The 21,710-nt window shown below is 49.3% G+C and overlaps 1 long non-coding RNA gene and 1 pseudogene across 1 annotated transcript, besides 7 other annotated features; one reads left to right on the forward strand and one right to left on the reverse strand.

The window, feature by feature from the left end:
- Window positions 1-1,933: 1,933 nt before the first annotated feature.
- Window positions 1,934-21,458, forward strand: LOC124903679 (uncharacterized). The gene is made up of 2 exons (XR_007065052.1): window positions 1,934-2,044; window positions 20,431-21,458. It is a non-coding gene; the product is annotated as an uncharacterized LOC124903679 (long non-coding RNA).
- Window positions 5,022-5,081: a silencer, noted in NCBI's record as "silent region_7394". NCBI's record gives its function as "represses an Ori minimal core promoter by ATAC-STARR-seq in GM12878 lymphoblastoid cells {active_cell/tissue: GM12878}" and the evidence as "EXISTENCE:reporter gene assay evidence [ECO:0000049][PMID:35858748]".
- Window positions 5,222-5,311: a silencer, noted in NCBI's record as "silent region_7395". NCBI's record gives its function as "represses an Ori minimal core promoter by ATAC-STARR-seq in GM12878 lymphoblastoid cells {active_cell/tissue: GM12878}" and the evidence as "EXISTENCE:reporter gene assay evidence [ECO:0000049][PMID:35858748]".
- Window positions 12,718-13,273: an enhancer, noted in NCBI's record as "H3K27ac-H3K4me1 hESC enhancer chr16:30824465-30825020 (GRCh37/hg19 assembly coordinates)". NCBI's record gives its function as "activates a minimal SCP1, AML or CMV promoter by ChIP-STARR-seq in naive H9 embryonic stem cells {active_cell/tissue: H9 hESC(naive)}" and the evidence as "EXISTENCE:reporter gene assay evidence [ECO:0000049][PMID:30033119]".
- Window positions 13,274-13,828: an enhancer, noted in NCBI's record as "H3K27ac-H3K4me1 hESC enhancer chr16:30825021-30825575 (GRCh37/hg19 assembly coordinates)". NCBI's record gives its function as "activates a minimal SCP1, AML or CMV promoter by ChIP-STARR-seq in naive H9 embryonic stem cells {active_cell/tissue: H9 hESC(naive)}" and the evidence as "EXISTENCE:reporter gene assay evidence [ECO:0000049][PMID:30033119]".
- Window positions 13,274-13,848: a biological region, named in NCBI's record as "H3K27ac-H3K4me1 hESC enhancer GRCh37_chr16:30825021-30825575".
- Window positions 13,699-13,848: an enhancer, noted in NCBI's record as "active region_10729". NCBI's record gives its function as "activates an Ori minimal core promoter by ATAC-STARR-seq in GM12878 lymphoblastoid cells {active_cell/tissue: GM12878}" and the evidence as "EXISTENCE:reporter gene assay evidence [ECO:0000049][PMID:35858748]".
- Window positions 13,869-14,198: a silencer, noted in NCBI's record as "silent region_7396". NCBI's record gives its function as "represses an Ori minimal core promoter by ATAC-STARR-seq in GM12878 lymphoblastoid cells {active_cell/tissue: GM12878}" and the evidence as "EXISTENCE:reporter gene assay evidence [ECO:0000049][PMID:35858748]".
- Window positions 20,447-21,088, reverse strand: ADISSPP2 (ADISSP pseudogene 2; annotated as a pseudogene).
- Window positions 21,459-21,710: the final 252 nt, after the last annotated feature.

Below are 21,710 nucleotides of genomic sequence, written 5' to 3' on the forward strand. Positions count from 1 at the left end.
TTTTAACCATGTGAATTCTTTTTCTTTCTCTTTCTTTCTCTCTCTCTCTTTTTTTTTTTTTTTTTTTTTGATGGAATCTCGCTCTGCTGCCCAGGCTGGAGTGCAGTGGGGCAATCTTGGCTCACTGCAACCTCTGCCTCCCGGGTTCAAGCAATTCTCCTGCCTCAGCCTCCTGAGTAGCTAGGACTACAGGCACCCACCACCATGCTCAGCTAATTTTTGTATTTTTTTTAGTAGAGATGGGGTTTCACCACGTTGGCCAGGCTGGTCTCGATCTCCTGACCTCATGATGCACCCGCCTCAGCCTCCCAAAGTGCTGGGATTACAGGCATGAGCCACCACGCCCGGCCATGAATTCTTTTTCAAAATATAAAAGGTGAAAAAGAGCTGAGGTGGGAGGATCTCCTGAGGCCAGGAGTTCAAAACCAGCCTGGGCAACATAGTGAGACCCCCATCTCTACAAAAAAATTTAAAAAGTGAAAAAGAGTGGCCAGACGGGGTGGCTCACGCCACCCAGCACTTTGGGAGACCAAGGCGGGCAGATCACCTGAGGCCAGGGGTTTGAGACCAGCCTAGCCATCATGGTGAGACCCCGTCTCTGCTAAGAAAATGCAAAAATTAGCCAGGCACGGTGGCACATGCCTGTAGTCCCAGCTGCTTGGGAGGCTGAGGCAGGAGAATTGCTGGAGCCGGGAGGCAAAGGTTGCAGTGAGCCGAGAACAAGCCACTGCACTGCAGCCTGGTTGACAGAGTGGGACTGTCTCAAAAAAAAAAAAAAAAAGTGGGGGGGATCCTTCACATTGCATCAAATTCTCTCAGGTGTAACATGGCCAGGGCAGCAAGTATCTCAGAAGGTACACGAGGGCACCAAGAGGAGTATGGCATGTCCTAGATTCAAAGACCATGCACACTTTTTTTTTCTTTTCATTTCTTTTTTTTAGAGAGAGAAAGGGTATCCCTCTGTCACCCAGGCTGGAGTGCAGTGGCTTGCTCCCGGCTCACTGCAACCTCTGTATCCTGGTTTAAGCAATTCTCCTGCCTCAGCCTCCTGAGTAGTTGGGACTACAGGTGTGCGCCACCACACTCAGCTAGTTTTTTTGTATTTTTAGTAGACATGGGGTTTCATCATGTTGGTCAGGCTGGTCTCAAATTCCTGACCTCAAGTGATCTGCCCGCCTCGGCCTCCCAAAGTGCTGGGATTACAGGCATGAACCACCGCGCCCAGCCAGAAAAATATAAATCTTGTTAGAAAACATATCCCCTGTATTGTACAGGCATGATTTTCCTGGCTAGAGAAAAGTGTGCATGGTCAGCCGGGCACAGTAGCCCACACCTGTAATTCCAGCAGTTTGAGAGGCTGAGGTAGGAGGATTGCTTGGGCCCAGGTGTTCAAGACCAGCCTGGGCAACATAGTGAGACCCTGTCTCTATTAAAAAATACAAAAATTAGCCAGACATGGTGGCAGGTACCTGTGGTCCCAGTTACTTGGGAGGCTGAGGTTGGAGGATTGCTTCAGCCTGGAAAGTCAAGACTGCAGTGACCCACCACTGCACTCCAGCCTGGGGGACAGAGTGAGACCCTGTCTTTTTCTAAAAAAAGAAAAAAATGTGCATGGTCTTTGAATCCAGGGATGTGCCGTACTCCTCTTGGTACCCTTGTGTACCTTCTATGAGACATTTGCTACCCTGGCCCATGTACACGAGATAATTTTTTTTTTTTTTGAGATGGAGTTTCGCTCTTTTTGCCCAGGCTGGAGTGCAATGGTGTGTCCTCAGCTCACTGTAACCTCTGCCTCCCAGGTTCAAGTGATTCTCCCGCCTCAGCCTCTGGAGTATCTGGGATTACAGGCGCTCGCTACCACGCTCTGCGATTTTGTATTTTTAGTAGAGACGGGGTTTCACCATGTTGGCCAGGCTGGTCACGAACTCCTGACCTCAGATGATCTGCCCACCTCAGCCTCCCAAAGTGCTGGGATTACAGGCGTGAACCACCACACCCGGCCACCAGAGAGAATCTGATGCAACGTGAAGACCTCAGCCAGCAGGTAAGGAATCTGGGTTCCAGTCCTGACTAAACTACAACCTGTAGAGTCCTCTTGAAAAAGCCCCACACTGTTCTCAGGGTTAGGATGCAGAGCTGATGAGATGGACAGTGCCCTGCCCCTCCAAGCTTACACCAGGCAGAGCCAGCAGCATGGCCAAGGGCACGGCCGTGAGAAAGTCCTCACCCCAGGCTCTCCCTACTTTCTGGCCTGCCCTCCTCCATGACTGTCTAGTTGCTAAGTCTCTAGGGTTCAAGCTCCAGAGGGAATGAAAGGAAGACAAGACAGGCTATTTCCTCCAGGCCTCCACAAACTCTATGAGCCTTTAGTACTAAACGCTGGAGCTGGTAGTACTAAATGCTGGAGACTTTAGTACTAAACACTGGAGTGGAATCTGCCCAGAGAGCCATTGAGCAGTGGAAGCAGGAAGAAAGGCTGCGCGGGAAGGTCTGTTCTTCCAAGTCTCCACGGGCTGTATGAAAGGGGAGGCCGGATGGTAATTGTTCTTGCACGTAAGAGCATGGTTTTATTTTATCCTGAAAACACACACTCAGTGCCTTTCAGCTTTCTGTCTTTGTCTAAAACTTGCTTCTTTTCAAGGTCACAAGATCCTCTTCTTCTTCTTCTTCTTTTTTTTTTTTTAGACAGGGTTTCACTCTGTCACCAAGGGTGGAGTGTGGTGGCATGACTATAGCTCACTGTAGCCTCAACCTCCTGGGCTCAGGTGATCCTCCCACCTCAGCTTCCTGAGTAGTTGGGACCACAGGTGCAGGCCAAAACAGCTGGCTTTTTTTTCTTTTCCCCCCTCTTTGTAGTGACTGAGTCTCCTTATGTTGCCTAGGCTGGTCTGGAACTCCTGGGCTGAAGCAATCCTCCCTCCTTTGCCTCCCAAAGTGCTGGGATTACAGGCGTGAGCTCTTTTTTAAATGAAGTTGGTGTCTGTTCTGGGGCAGCACCGTTCATGATTGATTTTCATCCTGTTGTAGGAATTAGGTGATTTAGCACAGCTCTGAACTAACTAGATGTCCAAGTTTGATGCTTTAGTTTGGAATTCCCAGAAAAAGTTTCCCAAATGGAGATTCAGTGCAGAGGAGAGGGAAAATCGTGCATTGTGCACTCTGGAATCAGGCAGTTTTGAGTTCAAATCAGACTCTGACATATACTCAGTTATTAACCTGTTTCTTTCTTTCTTTTTGTTTTTTGGAGATGGAGTCTCACTCTGTCACCCAGGCTGGAGTGCAGTGGCATGACCTCGGCTCACTGCAGCCTCTGCCCACTGGGTTCAAGCAATTCTCCTGCCTCAGCCTCCCGAGTAGCTGGGATTACAAGTGTCTGCCACCATGCCCAGCTAATTTTTCTATTTTTTTTTTTTTTAGTAAAGACGAGGTTTCACCATCTCGGCCAGGCTGGTCTTGAACTCGTGACCTTGTGATCCACCCACCTTCGCTTCTCAAAGTGCTGGGATTACAGGCGTGAGCCACCACACCCGGCCCTGTTTTTTTTTTTTTTTTTTTTTTTTGAGACAGTTTCGCTCTTGTCACCCAGGCTGGAGTCCAGTGGCACAATGTCGGCTCACTGAAACCTCCGCCTTCTGGTTTCAAGTGATTCTCGTGCCTCAGCCTCCCGAGCAGCTGGGATTACAGGCGCCTGCCACCACACCCCGCTAATTTTTTTATTTTTAGTAGAGACAGGGTTTCACCACGTTGGCCAGGCTGGTCTCAGACTCCTGAACTCAAGTGATCCACCTTCCTCGGCCTCCCAAAGTGCTAGGATTACAGGCATGAGCCACTGTGACTGATTTTTTTTTTTTTTTTTTTTGATACGGAGTCTTGCTTTGTTGCCCAGGCTGGAATGCAGTGGCGAGATCTCGGCTCACCACAACCTCTGCCTCCCGGGTTCAAGCGATTCTCCTGCCTCAGCCTCCCGAGTAGCTGGGACTACAGCTGCGTGCCACCATGCCTGGCTAATTTTTGTAGTTTTAGTAGAGATGGGGTTTCACTATGTTAGCTAGGCTTGTCTCAAACTCCTGACCTCGTGATCCGCCCACCTCGGCTTCCCAAAGTGCTGGGATTATAGGCATGAGCCACCGCACCTGGCCATTAACCCGTTTATTGTTGTTGTTGTTTTTTAAGACGGAGCCTCACTCTGTCGCCCAGGCTGGAGTGCAGTGGTGTGATCTCGGCTCACTGCAACCTCTGCCCCCTGGGTTCAAGCGATTCTCCTGCCTCAGCCTCCCAAGTAGCTGGGATTACAGGCGCCCGCCACCACACCCGGCTAATTTTTATACTTTCAGTAGAGAGGGGGTTTCATCACGTTGGCCAGGCTGGTCTTGAACTCCCGACCTTGTAATCCACCTGCCTCGGCCTCCCAAAGTGCTGGGATTACAGGCGTGAGCCACCACGCCTGGCCTAACCCGTTTCTTAATCCATAAAATGGGAATAATATTAACATTCCCTTCACAGAATTGCCCTGAGGTTATAGAGATAAGGTGTGTAAGGAACCTAGCACACAGAAGGCTCTCAGTAAATAGCAGTTATTACTATCATTTTTATCATGTTTCTTATTCTCATGTCTCAAACGTGACCCTCCACCAAAAGTTCTTTTATAGCAGAGTATAAATAATGGAAAAAAATGATATATAGCTTTTTTGTTTCCCCTCCAGACAGTGTCTCACTGTCACCCAGGCTGCAATGCAGTGGCGTGATCATAGCTCACTGCAGCCTCAAGCCTCTGGGCTCACGCTATCCTCCCGCCTTGGCCTCCCAGTGCTGGGATCACAGGCGCGCGCCACCACGCGGGGTCCAGCCTCTCTTCTGAGTGCTGCACATGCATTAATTCATGGAATCCTTACAGCAACCCCTTGCAAGGAAGAAAGCTGTGACTCAGAGAGGTTGAATAACTTGTCCGAGGAGCTCAGCCATGAGGCGGATCGGGGATGGAAACCCAGGCCGTGGGCCCTGCGCGGTTACAGGCATTCAATCCTCCAAATGTCCCCAGAGTGACTAGCGGCCATCATTCGGCCCTTCTCAGGAGGAAAGCGAGCGAACACCTCACGCGGCGACGGCCTCCCGGAGCTGAAGGGGTTATTCCCACTGAGACGCGGTCGCCTCCGCTCCTAGAGAGGCCCACGGAGGGCGCCGCACTTCCGGCCTGGGTCCAGCTTTGGCTCCGGCTCCCGCTCCTGACCTGCTGCTTCCCGGGCTGGCGTCCGGGCCGGCGTCCGGGCCCAGGCGACCGGGGCCTCCGAGCTCAGAGGCAGTGCCGAGGACCGAAGGAGGGGAAGGGATTCCCCAAAGGCATCCCTGACTCCCGAATTCCAGCAAGGGAGAATCAGGCGCTGGGGAGGCAAGGAGAGGGCCGCGGCTCTCCTCGGGGGCCGCGGGGCGCGACTCTTCCAGGACCTCGGCTGCTTTTCCCAGTAAAGCCCAGGCGGCCCGAGGCTGGCCGAGGGAGCGACCCTCTCCTGCCTCTTCTGGAAGGGCCGCTTCCCCGCCCTGCTGTAGACCCCGAGCTCCCTGGGGGAAGGACCCGCTCCTTCCATCCTCCACCCTCCCGAGCACCAGCCTGGGAAGGAGGGGATCCCAGTTCCTCCTTAGAGGCGACTCCTTTATCAAGTCTGATTTAGACATGGGCTCGTCCAAGGTCGTTCAGCAGCGAGTAGCGGAGCTGGGGCTGCACCGAGGAGCTCAGGCCCCACTCCGTGTTGCGGTCAAGACCAGATTTTGGGGTCAGCTTCTCAAACTCAGCACTACCAGCACCAAACTAAACTACCTGGCCCCTCCTCCCGAGAGAGGGTTCATTCTCAATCAAATCGGAACCTCAGTTTTTCTCTCCTGCTTTCCGTCCGCTTCCCTCGTCCTCCCTTGACCATACTTTTATGCTTCATCTTTTCCATCCAACCCGTCTTTCCAGCCCTCCCTCAGCCGTACTGCCGCAAACCTGTGTCGTTGCAACAACCTGCAACCTTGCCTGCCTCTCCCTTTTATTTCACGTGAAACTCCACTACAAGGAGTCCCCAAATCCTTGCCTCAGGCCACCCCTCGTTCCAAAAATACCTTTTAGTGATTTACTCACTGCCTGTGAGTTCAAGTCAAAACTCAGCTTGGCATTCAAGACGATTTGAAACCTGGCTCAAGCCCACCTCTCAAGAGGATTTGAAACCTGGCTCAAGCCTACCTCTCTAACCTGATCTATCTTGGTTCCCTAAGTAGAGGTCACAGATTGGCAGATGCAACTGGGAAATGTGTTTCAACTGGCAAAGAGTGTTTCTTTTCTTTTTCTTTTTCTTTTTTTTATTGGAGCCAATGGCCAGGCGCGATGGCTAAAGCCTGTTATCCCAGCACTTTGGGAGGCTGAGGCAGGCGGATCACTTGAGGTCAGGAGCTCGAGACCAGCCTGGCCAAATGACGAAACTTCATCTCTACTAAAAATACAAAAATTAGCTGGGCATGGTGGCTTATGCCTGTAATTCTAGCACTTTGGGAGGCCGAGGCGGGGGGATCACGAGGTCAGGAGATCGAGACCATCCTGGCTAACACGGTGAAACCTCGTCTCTACTGAAAATACAAAAAAATTAGTCGGGCGTAGTGGCGGGCGCCTGTAGTCCCAGCTACTCCGGAGGCTGAGGCAGGAGAATGGCGTGAACCCGGGAGGCGGAGCTTGCAGTGAGCCGAGATCGCTCCAGCCTCGGCGACAGAGCAAGACTCCGTCTCAATTAAAAAAAAAAAAAAATACAACTTCAAACTCTTGAAGTTATATTGGGAGAAGTAGTTTCCCAAAGAAAGGACAGAGAGGGAAATTGATAGGCATCAAAGGCATCAAGCACCTAGTGTGTGCCAGAGAACGACAGATGCTTTCACATTTTTTTCTTTTTCTTTTTTCTTTTCTTTTCTTTCTTTCTTTCTTTTTTTTTTTTTAGAGATAGGGCCTCATTCTTTCCCCCAGGCTGGAATGCAGTGGTGTGATCATAGCTTACTGTAGCCTCAAACTCCTGGGCTCAAGCAATCTTCTGCCTCAGCCTCCCAAGTAGCTAGGACCATGGACACATGCCACCACATCTGGGTTTTTGTTTTGTTTTTGAGACAGAGTCTCGCTCTGTCACCCAGGCTGGAGTACAGTGGCGCCATCTCCACTCACTGCACGCTCCGCCTCCCGGGTTCACACCATTCTCCTGCCTCAGCCTCCCGAGTAGCTGGGACTACAGGCGCCCGCCACCGCGCCCGGCTAATTTTTTTGTATTTTTTTAGTAGAGACGGGGTTTCACCGTGTTAGCCAGGATGGTCTCTATCTCCTGAGCTCGTGATCCACCCACCTCGGCCTCCCAAAGTGCTGGGATTACAGGCATGAGCCCCACGCCCGGCCTGGTTTTTGTTTTTTTTTGTTTGTTTTGTTTTGTTTTTTTTAATTAATTTTTTGGCTGGGCCGGGTTGCTGAAGCCTGTAATCCCAGCACTTTGAGAGGCTGAGGTGGGTGGATAGCTTGAGGTCAGGAGTTCGAGACCAGCCTGGCCAACATGGTGAAACCCCGTCTCTACTAAAAATACAAAAAAATTAGCCAGGTTGGGTGGCACATGCCTGTAGTCCCAGCTACTCAGGAGGCTAAGGCAGGAGAATCGCTTGAATCCAGGACGTAGAGGTTGCAGTGAGCTAAGATCGCACCACTGCACTCCAGCCTGGGCAACAGAGTGAGACCCTGTCTCAAAAAAAATTAATTAATTAATTTTTTGTAGAGACAGGGTCTCGCTCTGTTACCCAGGCTGGTCTCAAACTCCTGACTTCAAGTGATCTTCCCACCTCAGCCTCCCAAAGTCCTGGGATTACAGGCATGAGCTGCAGTTCCCAGCCACTTTCACATTTTATCTTACTGAATCCTTACACATAGGAAAGTGTTGTCATCATATTTTACAGAAGAGGGAAGTGAAGCTTAAAATGCTATGTAATTTTGCACTTTTTTTTTTTTTTTTTTTTTAGACAGAGTTTCTCTGTTGTTGCCCAGGCTGGAGTGCAGCGGCGCGATGTTGGCTCAATGCAACCTCTGCCTCCCGGGTTCAGGCAATTCTCCTGCCTCAGCCTCCTGAGTAGCTGGGATTACAGATGCCCACCACCTCGCCTGGCTAATTTTTTGTATTTTTAGTAGAGACGGGGTTTCGCCATGTTGGGCAGGCTGGTCTCGAACTCCTGACCTCAGGTGATCCGCCTGCCTCGGCCTCCCAAAGGGCTGGGATTACAGGCGTGAGCCACTGCGCCCAGCCAGTTTTGCAAAATTTAAAATGACACTGAGCTTGGATCAGAAGGCAGTCCTGGTAGTCAGAGAGTTGTCTAGCATTCACCCTGTCTTCTGTGTCTCCATGAAATAAGCCAGTCAAAGAAACTGTTAATGTATGAGTTGTGGGTCCATGGCCCTAGTCTCTCACTGTCCAAGCGTCATTCTAGATGTTCTCTCCTTGTACCCAGAGTTATTTTAGATGTGTCCACACAAGTGAAAAATTGGCCTCTTTATCTCCCTTGCCTCCCAGCCATAAATCTGTCAGGTTTACAAAATTATTTTAAGACTTTCCAGGCTGGGCGTGGTGGCTCATGCCCGTAATCCCAGCACTTTGGGAGGCCAAGGCAGGCAGATCACTTGAGCCCACGAGTTCAAGACCAGCCTAGGCAACATAGTGAGACCCTGTCTCTACAAAAAAAAAAAAAAAAAAAAAAAAATTAGCTGGGCATGGTGACACACGCCTGTAGTCCCAGCTACTCTGGAAGCTGAGGTGGGAGGATCACTTGAGCCCAAGAGTTCAAGGCTGCAGTGAGCTGTGATTGTACCACTGTACTCCAGCCTGGGAGAAAGAGCAAGAGCCTGTCTAAACAAAACAAGACTTTCCTTTATCACAAAATTGCCCAGTATACAGTAGGTTCATTCATTCATTCATTCAATAAGTAAATACTTACAGAGCATTTACTCTGGGCTCTCGTGACCACTGTAGTTGTGAACAAAACAGGTAAAAATTAAAAACAAAAATTGCTACCCTTACTAGAGATTAAATTCTGTTAAGAAAGACAGATAACAAAGAAAATAATGAGAAAAATAAAGTGGGGTCAGGGAAGATGTTGAAATTTTGGATAGGTGGGCCAGTAGAGACTTCTCTGAGAAGGTGGACTTTTTAAATTTTTATTTTATTTTATTTTTTTGAGACAGAGTCTCGTTCTGTCACTCAGGCTGGAGTGTAGTGGCATGATCTCGGCTCACTGCAACCTCTGCCTCCTGGGTTCAAGCGATCCTCCTGCCTCTCAGCATCCTGACTAGCTGGGATTGAAGGTACACACCACCATGCCCAGCTAATTTTCGTATTTTTAGTAGAGATGGGGTTTCACAATGTTGGCCAGGCTGGCCTTGCACTCCTGACCTCAGGTGATCCACCCACCTCTGCCTCCTAAAGTTCTGGGATTACAAGGGCCAGGTGCAGTGGCTCATGCTTGTAATTCCAGCACTTTGGGAGGCTGAGGAGGGTGGATCACGAGGTCAGGAGTTTGAGACCAGTCTAGCCAACATGGTGAAACCCCATCTCTACTGAAAATACAAAAATTAGCTGGGCGTGGAGGCATACACCTGTAATCCCAGCTACTCAGGAGGCTGAGGCAGGAGAATAGCTTGAACCCAGGAGGCAGAGGTTGCAGTGAGCCGAGATCGTGCCATTGCACTCCCGCCTGGGTAACAGGGCAAGACTCTGTCTCAAAAAAAAAAAAAGTTCTGGGGATTACAGATGTGAGCCACCATGCCAAGCCTTATTTTATTTTATTTTATTTTATTTTATTTATTTATTTATTTATTTGAGACAGAGTCTCACTTTGTCGCCAGGCTGGAGTGCAGTGGCACGGTCTCGGCTCACTGCAACCTCCGCCTCCTGGGTTCAAGCAGTTCTCTGCCCCAGCCTCCCAAGTAGCTGGCATTACAGGCATCCGCCACCACGCCCAGCTAATTTTTTGTATTTTTAGTAGAGACGGGGTTTCACCGTGTTAGCCAGGATGGTCTCGATCTCCTGACCTCGTGATCCGCCCACCTCGGCCCCCCAAAGTGCTGGGATTACAGGCGTGAGCCACCGCGCCCGGCTATTTTATTTTTTTAAGGCAGAGTCTCGCTGTGTCGCCCAGTCTGGGATGCAGTGGCATGATCTCAGCTCACTGCAACCTCTGTGTCCCGGGTTCAAGTGATTCTCCTGCCTCAGCCTTCCAAGTAGCTAGGATTACAGGCATGTGCCACCACACCCGGCTAATTTTTGTATTTTTAGTAGAGATGGGGTTTCAACATGTTGGTCAGGCTGGTCTCGAACTTCTGACCTCAGGTGATCCACCTGCCTCGGCCTCCCAAAGTGCTGGGATTACAGGGGTGAGCCACTGAGCCCAGCCGAAGGTGGACTTTTAATAAAGTCATAAAGAAAGTAGATGTTTAGGCCAGGCACGGTGGCTCATGCCTGTAATCCCAGCACTTTGGGAGGCCAAGACAGGTGGATTGCTTGAGCTCAGGAGTTTGAGATCAGCCCGGGCAACATAGTGAGACCCCCGTCTCTACTAAAAGTACAAAAAAAAATAGCCAGGCATGATGATGTGCTCTTGTGGTCCCAGCTAATTGGGAGGCTGAGGTGCGAGGATTACTTATCCCCAGGAGGCAGAGGTTGCAGTGAGCTGAGATTGTGCCATTGCACTCCAGCCTGGGTGACATAGTGAGACCCTGTCTCAAAAACAAAGCAAAAAAAAAAAAAAAAAAAAGGAAGTAGATGTTTAATTCACAGCTGTGTAAATAAACTATTAAAATGATGCTCCCAGCCAGGTGAAGTGGCTCACACCTGTAATCCCAGCACTTTGGGAGGCCAAAGCGGGCGGATCATGAGTTCAGGAGATGGAGACCATCCTGGCTAACAGGGTGAAACCCTGTCTCTACTGAAAATACAAAAACTTAGCCGGGCATGGTGGCACGCACCTGTAGTCCCAGCTACTTGGGAGGCCGAGGCAGGAGAATAGCTTGAACCCGGGAGGCAGAGGTTGCAGTGAGCCGAGATCATGCCACTGCACTCCAGCCTGAGCAACAGAGTGAGACTCCATCTCAAAAAAAATAAAATAAAATTATGCTCCCTCCAAAATCACTTCCAGAAGTAAGACAGCCATGAAAAAAGCTACTCAAACACTTGAAGTCCAGAAGGGAAAAATATAACAAAATATTAAGGAATCTTTTCCTTTTCAAAGTTGTCTTTTGTTCTTATCTAGTTTGCTCTAGGAAGTTTCTCCCTTTTCCAATCTCCAGCAAGACTCACCTGTCTTCTGCCTTTTCTGTTCTCCCCTTCTCTATCCCAACTCCATCCTGGGTAGCCAAGAAATTAGGTGGCAGCCAAGGCGGGCGTGCAGGAGATCAGGGGAGCTGGCATGCTTCCTTCCACCGAGTGGAGCTGGGTAGAGTGTAAAGTGGTGGCTGAGTGGGAGATGGGGACGCTGTGGGGGGACACACTTGGAGATTTGGAAGACATCTGCAGGAGCAGATGGCCGAGAACCGCACCCCAGATCTCCCCAGAGTGAAAGGATGTAGCCACACAGAACCTAGGGAAGAAACACAGGCACATATTGGTTGGTTTTGTTTTACTTTTTGGTGTGCCTCTTTTGATGTAACAGCTTTATTGAGATGTAATTCACATATCATACACTTCATCTAGTTTTTTTTTTGTTTTGTTTTTGTTTTTTTAAGACAGAGGCTCGCTCTGTCACCTGGGCTTCAGTGCAATGGTGCGATCTCGGCTCACTGCAACCTCCACCTACTGGGTTCAAGTGATTCTCCTGCCTCAGCCTCCCAAGTAGCTGGAATTACAGGTGCATGCCACCACGCCCAGCTAATTTTTTTTTTTTTTTTTTTTTGAGACAGAGTCTCAGTCTGTTGCCCAGGCTAGAGTGCAGTGGTGCAATCTCGGCCCACTGCAACCTCCACCTCCTGGGTTCAAGCAGTTCTCCTGCCTCAGTCTTCCTAGTAGCTGGGATTACAGGCACCTGCCACCACACTCAGCTAATTTTTGTATTTTAGTACAAAACTCTTGACCTCAGGTGATCTGCCCGCCTCAGCCTCCCAAAGTGCTGGGATTATAGGCATGAGCCACTGCGCCTGACAAATTTTTTGTATTTTTAGTAAAGATGGGGTTTCACCATGTTGACCAGGCTGGTTTCCAACTCCTGGCCTCAAGTGATCCACCTGCCTCGGCCTCCCAAAGTGCTGGATGGAGTTTTGCTGTGTTGCCCAAGCTGGTCTCAAACTCCTGGGCTCAAGCAATTTTCACCCCCTCAGCATCCTGAGTAGCTGGGACTGCCTCAAAAAAAAAAAAAAAAAAAAAGATTACAAAGGTCAGTTTGGAACATTAGGGTAGGGGTTAGAAGCTCTTCTGGAGGGGACAATGGGGCAGTGGTGATAGATGAAAAAGCAGAAGAGAGAGATAACTCACTTCTGTTTTATTTTTTATTGCTCTATTTTTGCTTTGTAAGTCACCACGAATGTAGGCAGGATAGAAATCCTAAGTACACCAAAGTGGGAAGTGCTACAAATTAAATTGTTTGCTTTTATTCCTGTGGATAATTTTCTTTCTCTGTTTTAACATATTTATGCCTTCTATTTCCTAACACTTTGTAAAGGAACTGATTATGAAATCAGAAAACCTGGGTTTTTCCTCCTAATGTGACTTAGCTGCTGTCAAAGTTTCCTCATCTGCAAAATGAGGGGGTTAGAGTACAATGGACATTCCATTATCCTCTCCAGCATCATCCCCTTAGTGCAGGCAGGCACTCTTTCAGGGATCTGTTGACAGTCCCTATTTTATTTTTAGGTGCCAACCCAGCCTTTCCCCTCCTTTTCTAGAATTTTTGTGTACAGAAAGTGAAGGTGGGGCTGGGCACCATAGTGAGACCCCGTCTCTCCAAAAAAAAAAGCCGGGCATTGTGGTGTGTGCCTGTGGTTCCAGCTACTTGGGAGGCTGAGGCGGGAGGATTGCTTGAGCCCAGGAGTTGGAGGCTGCAGCCAACTAGGATTGTGCCACTGCACTCCAGCCTGGGCGACAGAGTGAGACCCTGTATTAAAAAAAAAAGAAAAGAGGGCCAGGCACAGTGGCTCATGCCTGTAATCCCAGCACTTTGGGAGGCCGAGGTGGGTGGATACCTGAAGTCAGGAGTTCAAGACCAGCCTGACCAACGCGGTGAAACACCGTCTCTACTAAAAATACAAAAATTAGCTGGATGTGGTGGTGCATGCCTATAATTCCAGCTACTCAGGAGGCTGAGGCAGGAGAATCGCTTGAACCCATGAGGTGGAGGTTGCAGTGAGCTGAGATCGCACCACTGCAATCCACCCTGGGCGACAGAGCGAGACTCAGTCTCAAAAAAAAAGAAAAGAAGGTGAAGGTGGCTAAATAGCATAACATGTCAGAGATTTACGTGTCAGAGATTTAACATGTCAGAGATTTCCACATGTTATCAAGTCTGTTTCATGGCTAAGAACTGGAAGGGACCTTTGAGGACATCTAACCCTCATAGGACTTAACAATAGGATGAGGAAACAAGCTCAGAAATAGGCTATAACTTGCCCAAGGCCACTCAGAGAGGGAATGCCAGAGCCAGGGCCAGCTCTCAACTTCAGGCCAGAGAAGCCCAGGGTCTTCCATGAGAAATAGGGCCTGTCAGACTGGACAGGCTCCTTGGAGGTGGTCCAGTGAGTCCAATCCCTTTTTTTGCTGCGGCTTAGACGAGGGGCCGCTGAGGATTCTCCGAATTCGCTGGATCTGGACCCAGACTTCCGGGTCCACAGTGCAGCCTGAATGATCAACAGGGGAACGTGCGTTCGCCAGGGTCCCCGGGGGCAGAGGCACCTCTCCCTGGGCGGGGCCGGGGAGATTACGCAACACGGGTCTTAGTTGTCTGGGCCGCTGGGGTCGCCTCCACGGGCAGGAGCCACGGCCAGGACGTGCAGGCCGCCCCCTGCTGGTCCGTTTCGGAACCGGGCGGGTGGCCGCGGCGCTGCCCGGGTTGGGGGCATGGCTTTACAACGGTGAGCCAATCCCAGGCCGCACCGTGGATGGGGCGGGCGTTCACTTCTCCTCCCAGTCCTTTGGTTCTCTCCGCGGCGGAAGCTGTGCGGCGACCTAGCAACCGTCCTTGCCGACCCTCCCGCCGGTGACGTGGCTGCGACCCACCCTTCTTGCCATAGCCCTTTGGAAAGCGAAGGTCCCTTCAGGGCCAAAAGGACAGGGAGGTTTTTTCCTTCCTTCCTTCCCTCCCTCCTTCCCTCCTTCCCTTTCTTTCTTTCCTTTCTTTTTCTTTCTTTTCACAGAGTCTGACTTAATCACCCACGCTGCAGTGTAGTATGATCTGCTCACTGAAGCCTCTGCCTCCCGGGTTCAAGCGATTCTCCCAACTCAGCCTCCCAAGTAGCTGTACAGGTGTGCACCGCCACACCCAGCTAAATTTTGCATTTGTAGTAGATATGGGGTTTCATCATGCTGGCCAAGATGGTCTAAAGTGATCCGCCCGCCTCGGCCTCCCAAAGTGCTGGGATTACCGGCGGGAGCCACCGCTCCCGTCCAGGACAGGGATTTTGGTTGGTTGGTTGGATGGAGCCTTACAGTTTGGATGTGGTGAGCATGAAATGCATACGTTCAAGAAGCTGAGCCGACAAAGGGCTTACTCTAGGTGGACTGAAAATTCGATGTTTCCAATTCAAAACATCTGCTCTCCGAGGTGTGGGTGAAGGTATGGGGGGTCCAAAAATGTCCGAGTCCCACCACCTGATGTTGTTAGTTACACTTCTTTTTTTGTTTTGAGATGGAATTTTGCTCTTGTTGCCCAGGCTGGAGTGCAGTGGCGCGATTTCAACTCACCACAACCTCCGCCTCCTGGGTTCAAGCGATTCTTCTGCCTCAGCCTCCCGAGTAGCTGGGATTACAGGCATGTGCCATCACACCAGCTAATTTTTGTATTTTTAGTAGAGACGGGGTTTCTCCATGTTGGTCAGTCTGGTCTCGAACTCTTGACCTCAGGTGATCCGCCCGCCTTGGCCTCCCAAAGTGCTGGGATTACAGGTGTGAGCCACCACACCTGGCCTAATTTTTGTGTTTTTAGTAGAGATAGGTTTTCGCCATGTTGGCCAGGCTGGTCTCAAACTCACCTCAGGTGATCCGCCTGCCTCGGCCTCTCAAAGTGCTGGGATTACAAGCATGAGCCACCACGCCTGGCCCACGCTTGGCTAATTTTTGTTTGTTTGCTTGTGTTTTAGAGATGGGGTTTTGCCACATTGCCCAGGCTGGTTTCAAACTCCTGAGCTCAAGTGATCTGCCTGCCTCAGCCTCCCAAAGTGCTGGGATTACCGGCATGAGACACCATGCTTGACCGGTTTTATCACAGTTTTTAAAAAGTAATAATATAGTAGGCCAGGCATGGTGGCTCATGCCTGTAATCCCAGCACTTTGGGAGGCTGAGGCAGGCAGATCACCTGAGGTTGGGAGTTCAAGACGAGCCTGACCAACATGGAGAAAACCCGTCTTTACTAAAATACAAAAATTAGCTGGGTGTGGTGGTGCACACCTGTAATCCCAGCTACTCGGGAAGCTGAGGCAGGAGAATGGCTTGAACCCAGGAGTCATTGGTTGTGGTGAGCTGAGATCGTGCCATTGCACTCCAGCCTGGGCAACAAGAGTGAAACTCCATTAAAAAAAAAAATTAGCCGGGCACGGTGGCTCACGCCTGTAATCCCAGCACTTTGGGAGGCCGAGGCGGGCGAATCACAAGGTCAGGAGATTGAGACCATCCTGGCTAACACGGTGAAACCCTGTCTCTACTAAAAATACAAAAAAATTAGCCGGCATGGTGGTGGACTCCTGTAGTCTCAGCTACTTGGGAGGCTGAGGCAGGAGAATGGCGTGAACCTGGGAGGTGGAGCTTGCAGTGAGCCGAGATTGTGCCACTGCACTCCAGCCTGGGCGACAGAGCAAGACTCCATCTAAAAAAAAAAAAAGTTAATATAGTAAACAAAAACCCATTGAATTGTGCACTTTAGATGGGTGAATTATATGGTATGTGAATTATATCTCAATAAAGCTGTTTCAGAAAGTTGTGGGGTTTTTTTTCTTTTGAGACAGGGTCTCGCTGTGTTGCCCAGGCTAGAGTGCAGTGGAGTGATCTTAGCTCACTGCAACCTCCACCTCCCGGGCTCAAGTGATTCTGGTGCCTCAGCCTATGTTTCAGAAAGTTTTAAATTTGGATTAAGTTCAATGTGTCACTTTTTCCTTTTATGAATTATGCTTTAGGTATCAAGAACTCTGTATAACATTAGAACCTTAAGATACTCTTCTGTTTTTTTCTGAAAGTTTTATAGTTTTTACATTTTACATTTAAGTTTGTAACTCATTTGGAGTTAATTTTTGTGTACGGGTTTTTAGGGTTTTGTGTTTTTGTCTATGGATGTCTAATTACTCTAACACCACCTGTTGAAAAGCACCACTGAATTGCCTTTGGTTTTTTAATTTTGTTTTGTTGGTTTGTTGGTTTGTTTGTTTGTTTTTGAGATGGAGTCTCATCTGTCACCCTGGATGGAGTGCAGTGGTGAGATCTCGGCTCACTACAACCTCTGCCTCCCAGGTTCAAGCAATTCTCCTGTCTCAGCCTCCCAAGCAGCTGGGACCACAGACAGGCACCACCATGCCCGGCTAATTTTTTTTTTTTTTTTTTTTTGAGACAGAGTTTCGCTCTTGTTGCCCAGGCTGGAGTGCAATGGTGCAATCTCGGCTCACTGCAGCCTGCGCCTCCTGGGTTCAAGTGATTCTCCCGCCTCAGCCTGCTAAGTAGCTGGGATTACAGGCATGTGCCACCATGCCCGGCTAATTTTGTATATTTAGTAGAGACAGGGTTTCTCCATGTTGGTCAGGCTGGTCTCCGACTCCTGACCTCATGTGATCTGCCTGCCTTGGCCTCCCAAAGTGCTGGGATTACAGGTGTGAGCCACTGCACCCGGCCATTTTTTTGTATTTTATTTTTATTTTTTGTAGACGGAGTCTCGCTCTGTCACCCAGGCTGGAGTGCAGTGGCACGATCTCGGCTCACTGCAACCTCCGCCTCCCAAGTTCAAGCTTCTGCCTCAGCCTCCCAAGTAGCTCCCAAGTAGGCACCCACCACTACACCTAGCTAATTTTTTGTATTTTTAGTAGAGACAGGGTTTCACTATGTTGGCCAGGCTGGTCTCGAACTCCTGACTTCAGGCGATCCACCCGGCTCAGCCTCCCAAAGTGCTGGGATTCCAGGCATGAGCCACTGCACCTGGCTGCTTTTGCAACTTTGTAAGAAATCAGTTGGAAATATATATATGGGTCTGCTTCTAGGCTCTCTATTCTGTTCCAGTGATTTATTCTTCTGCCAATAGAGTCTTGATTACTCTAGCTATATAATAAGTTTTTAATCTAGTGATGATTCTTTTTATTTTATTCTTCTTTTTCAAAATTGTTTTAGCTATTCTAGTTTCCTCTCCTTTTCATATAAATTTTAGAATAATCTTGTCTATATTTACAAAGAAATCTCGCTGGGGCTGGGTGCAGTGGTTCACGCCTGTAATCCCAACACTTGGAGAGGCTGAAGTGGGCTGATCCCTTGATGCCAGGAGTTCGATAGCAGCCTGGGCAACATGGCAAAACCCTGTCTCTACTAAAAATACAAAAATTAGCTGGGCGTGGTGGTATACGCCTGTAATCCCAGTTACTTGGAAGGCTGAGGCAGGAGAATTGCTTGAACCCGGGAGGCGGAGGTTGCAGTGAGCCGAGATCTCACCACTGCACTCCAGCCTGGGCAACAGAGCAATACTCTGTCTAAAAAACAAAAACAAGGCTTGTCGCGATGGCTCATGCCTGTAATCCCAGCACTTTGGGAGGCTGAGGTAGGCGGATCACAAGGTCAGGAGTTCGAGACCAGCCTGACCAACATGGTGAAACCCCGTCTCTACTAAAAATACAAAAATTAGCCACATGTAGTGGCGGGTGCCTGTAACCCCAGCTACTCAGGAGGCTGAGGCAGGAGAACTGCCTGAACCCGGGAGGCGGAGGTTGTAGTGAGCTGAGATTGCGCCACTGTACTCCAGCCTGGGTGACAGAGGGAGACTCCATCTAAAAATAAATAAATAAATACATAAATTTAAAAAATAAAAACAAACAAACCAACACAAAACCCACAAGGAAACCTTGCTGGGATTTTAATAGACATTTTATTAAACTTGTATAACAATTTGGGGGAGAATTAATATCTTTACTATAGTGAGTCTTCTGATCCATGAACGTAGTATGTCTCTCCATTTATACAGATCTTTGATTTCTTTTATTAGTGTTGTGTACTTTTCAGCATAGAAGTCCTATACATATTTTATTAGATTTACACTTACATATTTCCTTTTTCTTGTTTTGAGAGACTGTAAGTCATATTATATTTTTATTTCTTTTCTTTTCTTTTCTTTTCTTTTTTTTTGGAGACAGTTTAGCCAGGCTACAGTGCAGTGGGGCGATCTCAGCTCACTGCAACCTCCACCTCCTGGGTTCTAGAAATTCTTGTGCCTCCCAAGTAGCTGGGACTACAGGCATGTGCCACCACACCTGGCTAATTTTTGCATTTTTAGTAGAGATGGAGTTTTGCCATGTTGGCCAGGCTAGTCTTGAACTCCTGACCTCAGGTGGTCTGCCCACCTTGGCCTCCCAAAATGTTGGGATTACAGGAGTGAGCCACCACGCCCAGCCACCACGCCCGGCCAATGTTTGTATTTTTAGTAGAGATGAGGTTTCACTATATTGGTCAGGCTGGTCTCAAACTCCTGACCTCAAGCGATCTGCCCGCCTCGGCCTCCCAAAGTGCTGGGATTACATGTGTGCGACACCATGCCTGGCACATATTATATTTTTCATTTCAGTGTCCACCTGTTCATTGTTAGCGTATAGAAATGTAATTGATATTTCCAATCTATGTCTTGTACACTGAGACCTTGCTGAACTCATTAGTTCCAGGAGTTTTTTGGTAGATTCCTTCATATTTTCTCTGTAGACAATCATGTCATCTCCAAATAGTGAGTTTTATTTCTTCCTTTCCAATCTGCATGCCTTTTATTTTCTTCTCTTGCCCTCTTGCACTGGCTAGATCTTCCAGCACTTTGTTGAATAAGAATAATAAGAATGGAAATCCCTTACATTTTATTTTCCAGTTGTCACTAATGGTACACAAAATTTACAGCTGAAAAACTGCAACTGATTTTTGTATATTGAACTTGTATCCTAGACAGAGCTAAATTCATTTATTAGTTGTAGTAGTTAGTTTTTTGGGTTTTTATTATTTTTTTTGAGATGGAGTCTCACTCTATCACCTAGGCTGGAATGCAGTGGCGTGATCTCAGCTCACTGCAACCTCCGCCTCTGTGGTTCAAGTGATTCTCCTGCCTCAGCCTCCCGAGTAGCTGGGACTACAGGTGCGTGCCACCACCCCCAGCTAATTTTTGTATTTTTAGTAAAGACAGCATTTCACCATGTTCGCCAGGATGCTTTCAAGCTCTTGACCTTGTGATCTGCCCGCCTTGGCCTCCCAAAGTGCAGGGATTACAGGTGTGAGCCATTGTACCCGGCCTAGTTTTTAAAAAATATATATCCTTTCCATCAGATAAAGAAATTCTATTTATTGTTTTTAATTTGTTAATATATTTTTAATTTCTTTTTATTTTTTATTTTTATTTTTGTAGATAGAGATGGGGTCTTATGGGGTCTTGCTCTGTTGACCAGGCTGGTCTTGATCTCCTGGTCTCAAGTGATCCTCCTGTCTTGGCCTTCCAAAGTGCTGGAATTACAGGCATGAGCCACCATGCCCATATATATACATATGGGCATATATATATATATATATATATATATATATATATATATATACATACACACACACACACACATATGGGCATATATATATATATATATATATACACACACACACACACACATGGGCATATATATATATACACATATGGGCATATATATATATAATTTCGTATCCACTGGAAGTTTTATTTCTTTAGGGTTCTATCCCAATCAGTCACTTAAAAACCAAGTAACACAGACCTGAGGGGTGAGAGGTGGGGACTGCACCTCCCTCCTACTCATTGTGGACAGCAGAGGAGAAGAGAGAGGAGCAGGAGAGGTGGCTGACGCCAGGCAGCAGCAGCAGTGATGGGGCCACGACGTCACAGAGCAAGCTCCATCCTCCCCCAGACCCTAGCTGGAGCTCCTGTGGGTTGGGGTGGGCAGTGGGGAGAACCCACCCCAGGCCCTCCCCATCCCTTCCCCAGACAGTCTCCTTGTGGGCTCAACCAATGTCTTCTGGCAGGAGCCTGAGGCACACGGAGAGGAGGAAGTGGAAGAGGAGGACGGGAGAGGCACGGTGGTGGCAGGAATGAAGGCAGAGGTGGGAGGCTGGCCAGGGCCACTCCACCCCACGCCCACCCCGGAGAGGGCCGAGGAAGCCACCATCACGCAGCGTGTCACGGGGACCAGGCGGGGTTTAAGGCTGAGGGCTCGGGGCGGGCAGGGCCTCCGGCCTCAGTCAAAGCCGTGCCAGTGGCTGTGCTGCGAGTCTTATTCCAGCGCGGCGCCCGAGCCCTTGACACCGTCCAGCAGGTGGGCATGCCGTGGTGTCGGCCCCTGGCGCCAGCCTGCACTGCCACGCTCACACAGGCGCCGGCGCCACCTTCGCAGGCTGGCAGCATCGCGGCTTTGAGGACACCCTCTTTGTGCGCTGAGTACTCGCACTTGACACTGTAACCTTCAGGGACAGGAACAACGCTGAGGAGCTTGACATGCAGAGGCTGGGAACAGGTGCCTCACGGACGTGCTTGCTCACTGGGCGGGGGAAGAGTGAAGGTAATCTCATACCTGCGCAGGATCTTCAGGAAGCCAACCTTGACCAGAAAGCTGCTGTCGCTGTCCTGGGTGGCCATGACCACCGAGTCATGAAGCCTCTCATCAAAGCAGACGTGGCTCTGGGAGTATTACAGGTCGAGAAAATGTGGGTCGTGACCAACTCAGTATACCACTGGAGGCTATATGAGTAAACAGAAAACTGTTCTCATGAAAGCAGGATGTTGGAAAACTGAGGGCTGCATCTGCCCACAGAGGGAGTGCTGAGAGCAGTCACGCCCCAAGCGCAGTGTTCCTTGTGATTACCTATAGGAACATCTGAAGCCTGTTGTACAAAGAAAGCAATTATGTGTACCTGTGATAAATCAAGCAACTGACCAACCGTTACCTCTCCCTCCCTGCTCTTTCTACCTAATAAATACGAAGGGCTGTGGAAGCTCAGGGCTGCCCTTGTTCACTAGAAGCAAGGAGCCCCCTGACCCCTTCTTTCAAAACAGATCTTTTTGTCTTGGTCTTCATTTCTGCATTCATCCCCCTTCGTTCACACCTGTAGCAACCGACAGCAACATGGGAGCCCTCTGTATCGTGGCCTGCCGCAAAGCAGATACTCCTCCGGACTCTGGGCTTGTTGCCGTTGTTGGCTGCAGCCATGGATGCCCTCCCTGCCACACAGCGCCTGCTGGACACCGCCACTCACGCTTAGCAGCCTCCCGTGTTGCAGGGGCTGCAGTGTGCACCCGGGGCCGGGCA

The sequence above is a fragment of the Homo sapiens genome, chromosome 16 (genome assembly GCF_000001405.40).
Source record: "Homo sapiens chromosome 16, GRCh38.p14 Primary Assembly".
Lineage (NCBI taxonomy): Eukaryota > Metazoa > Chordata > Mammalia > Primates > Hominidae > Homo > Homo sapiens.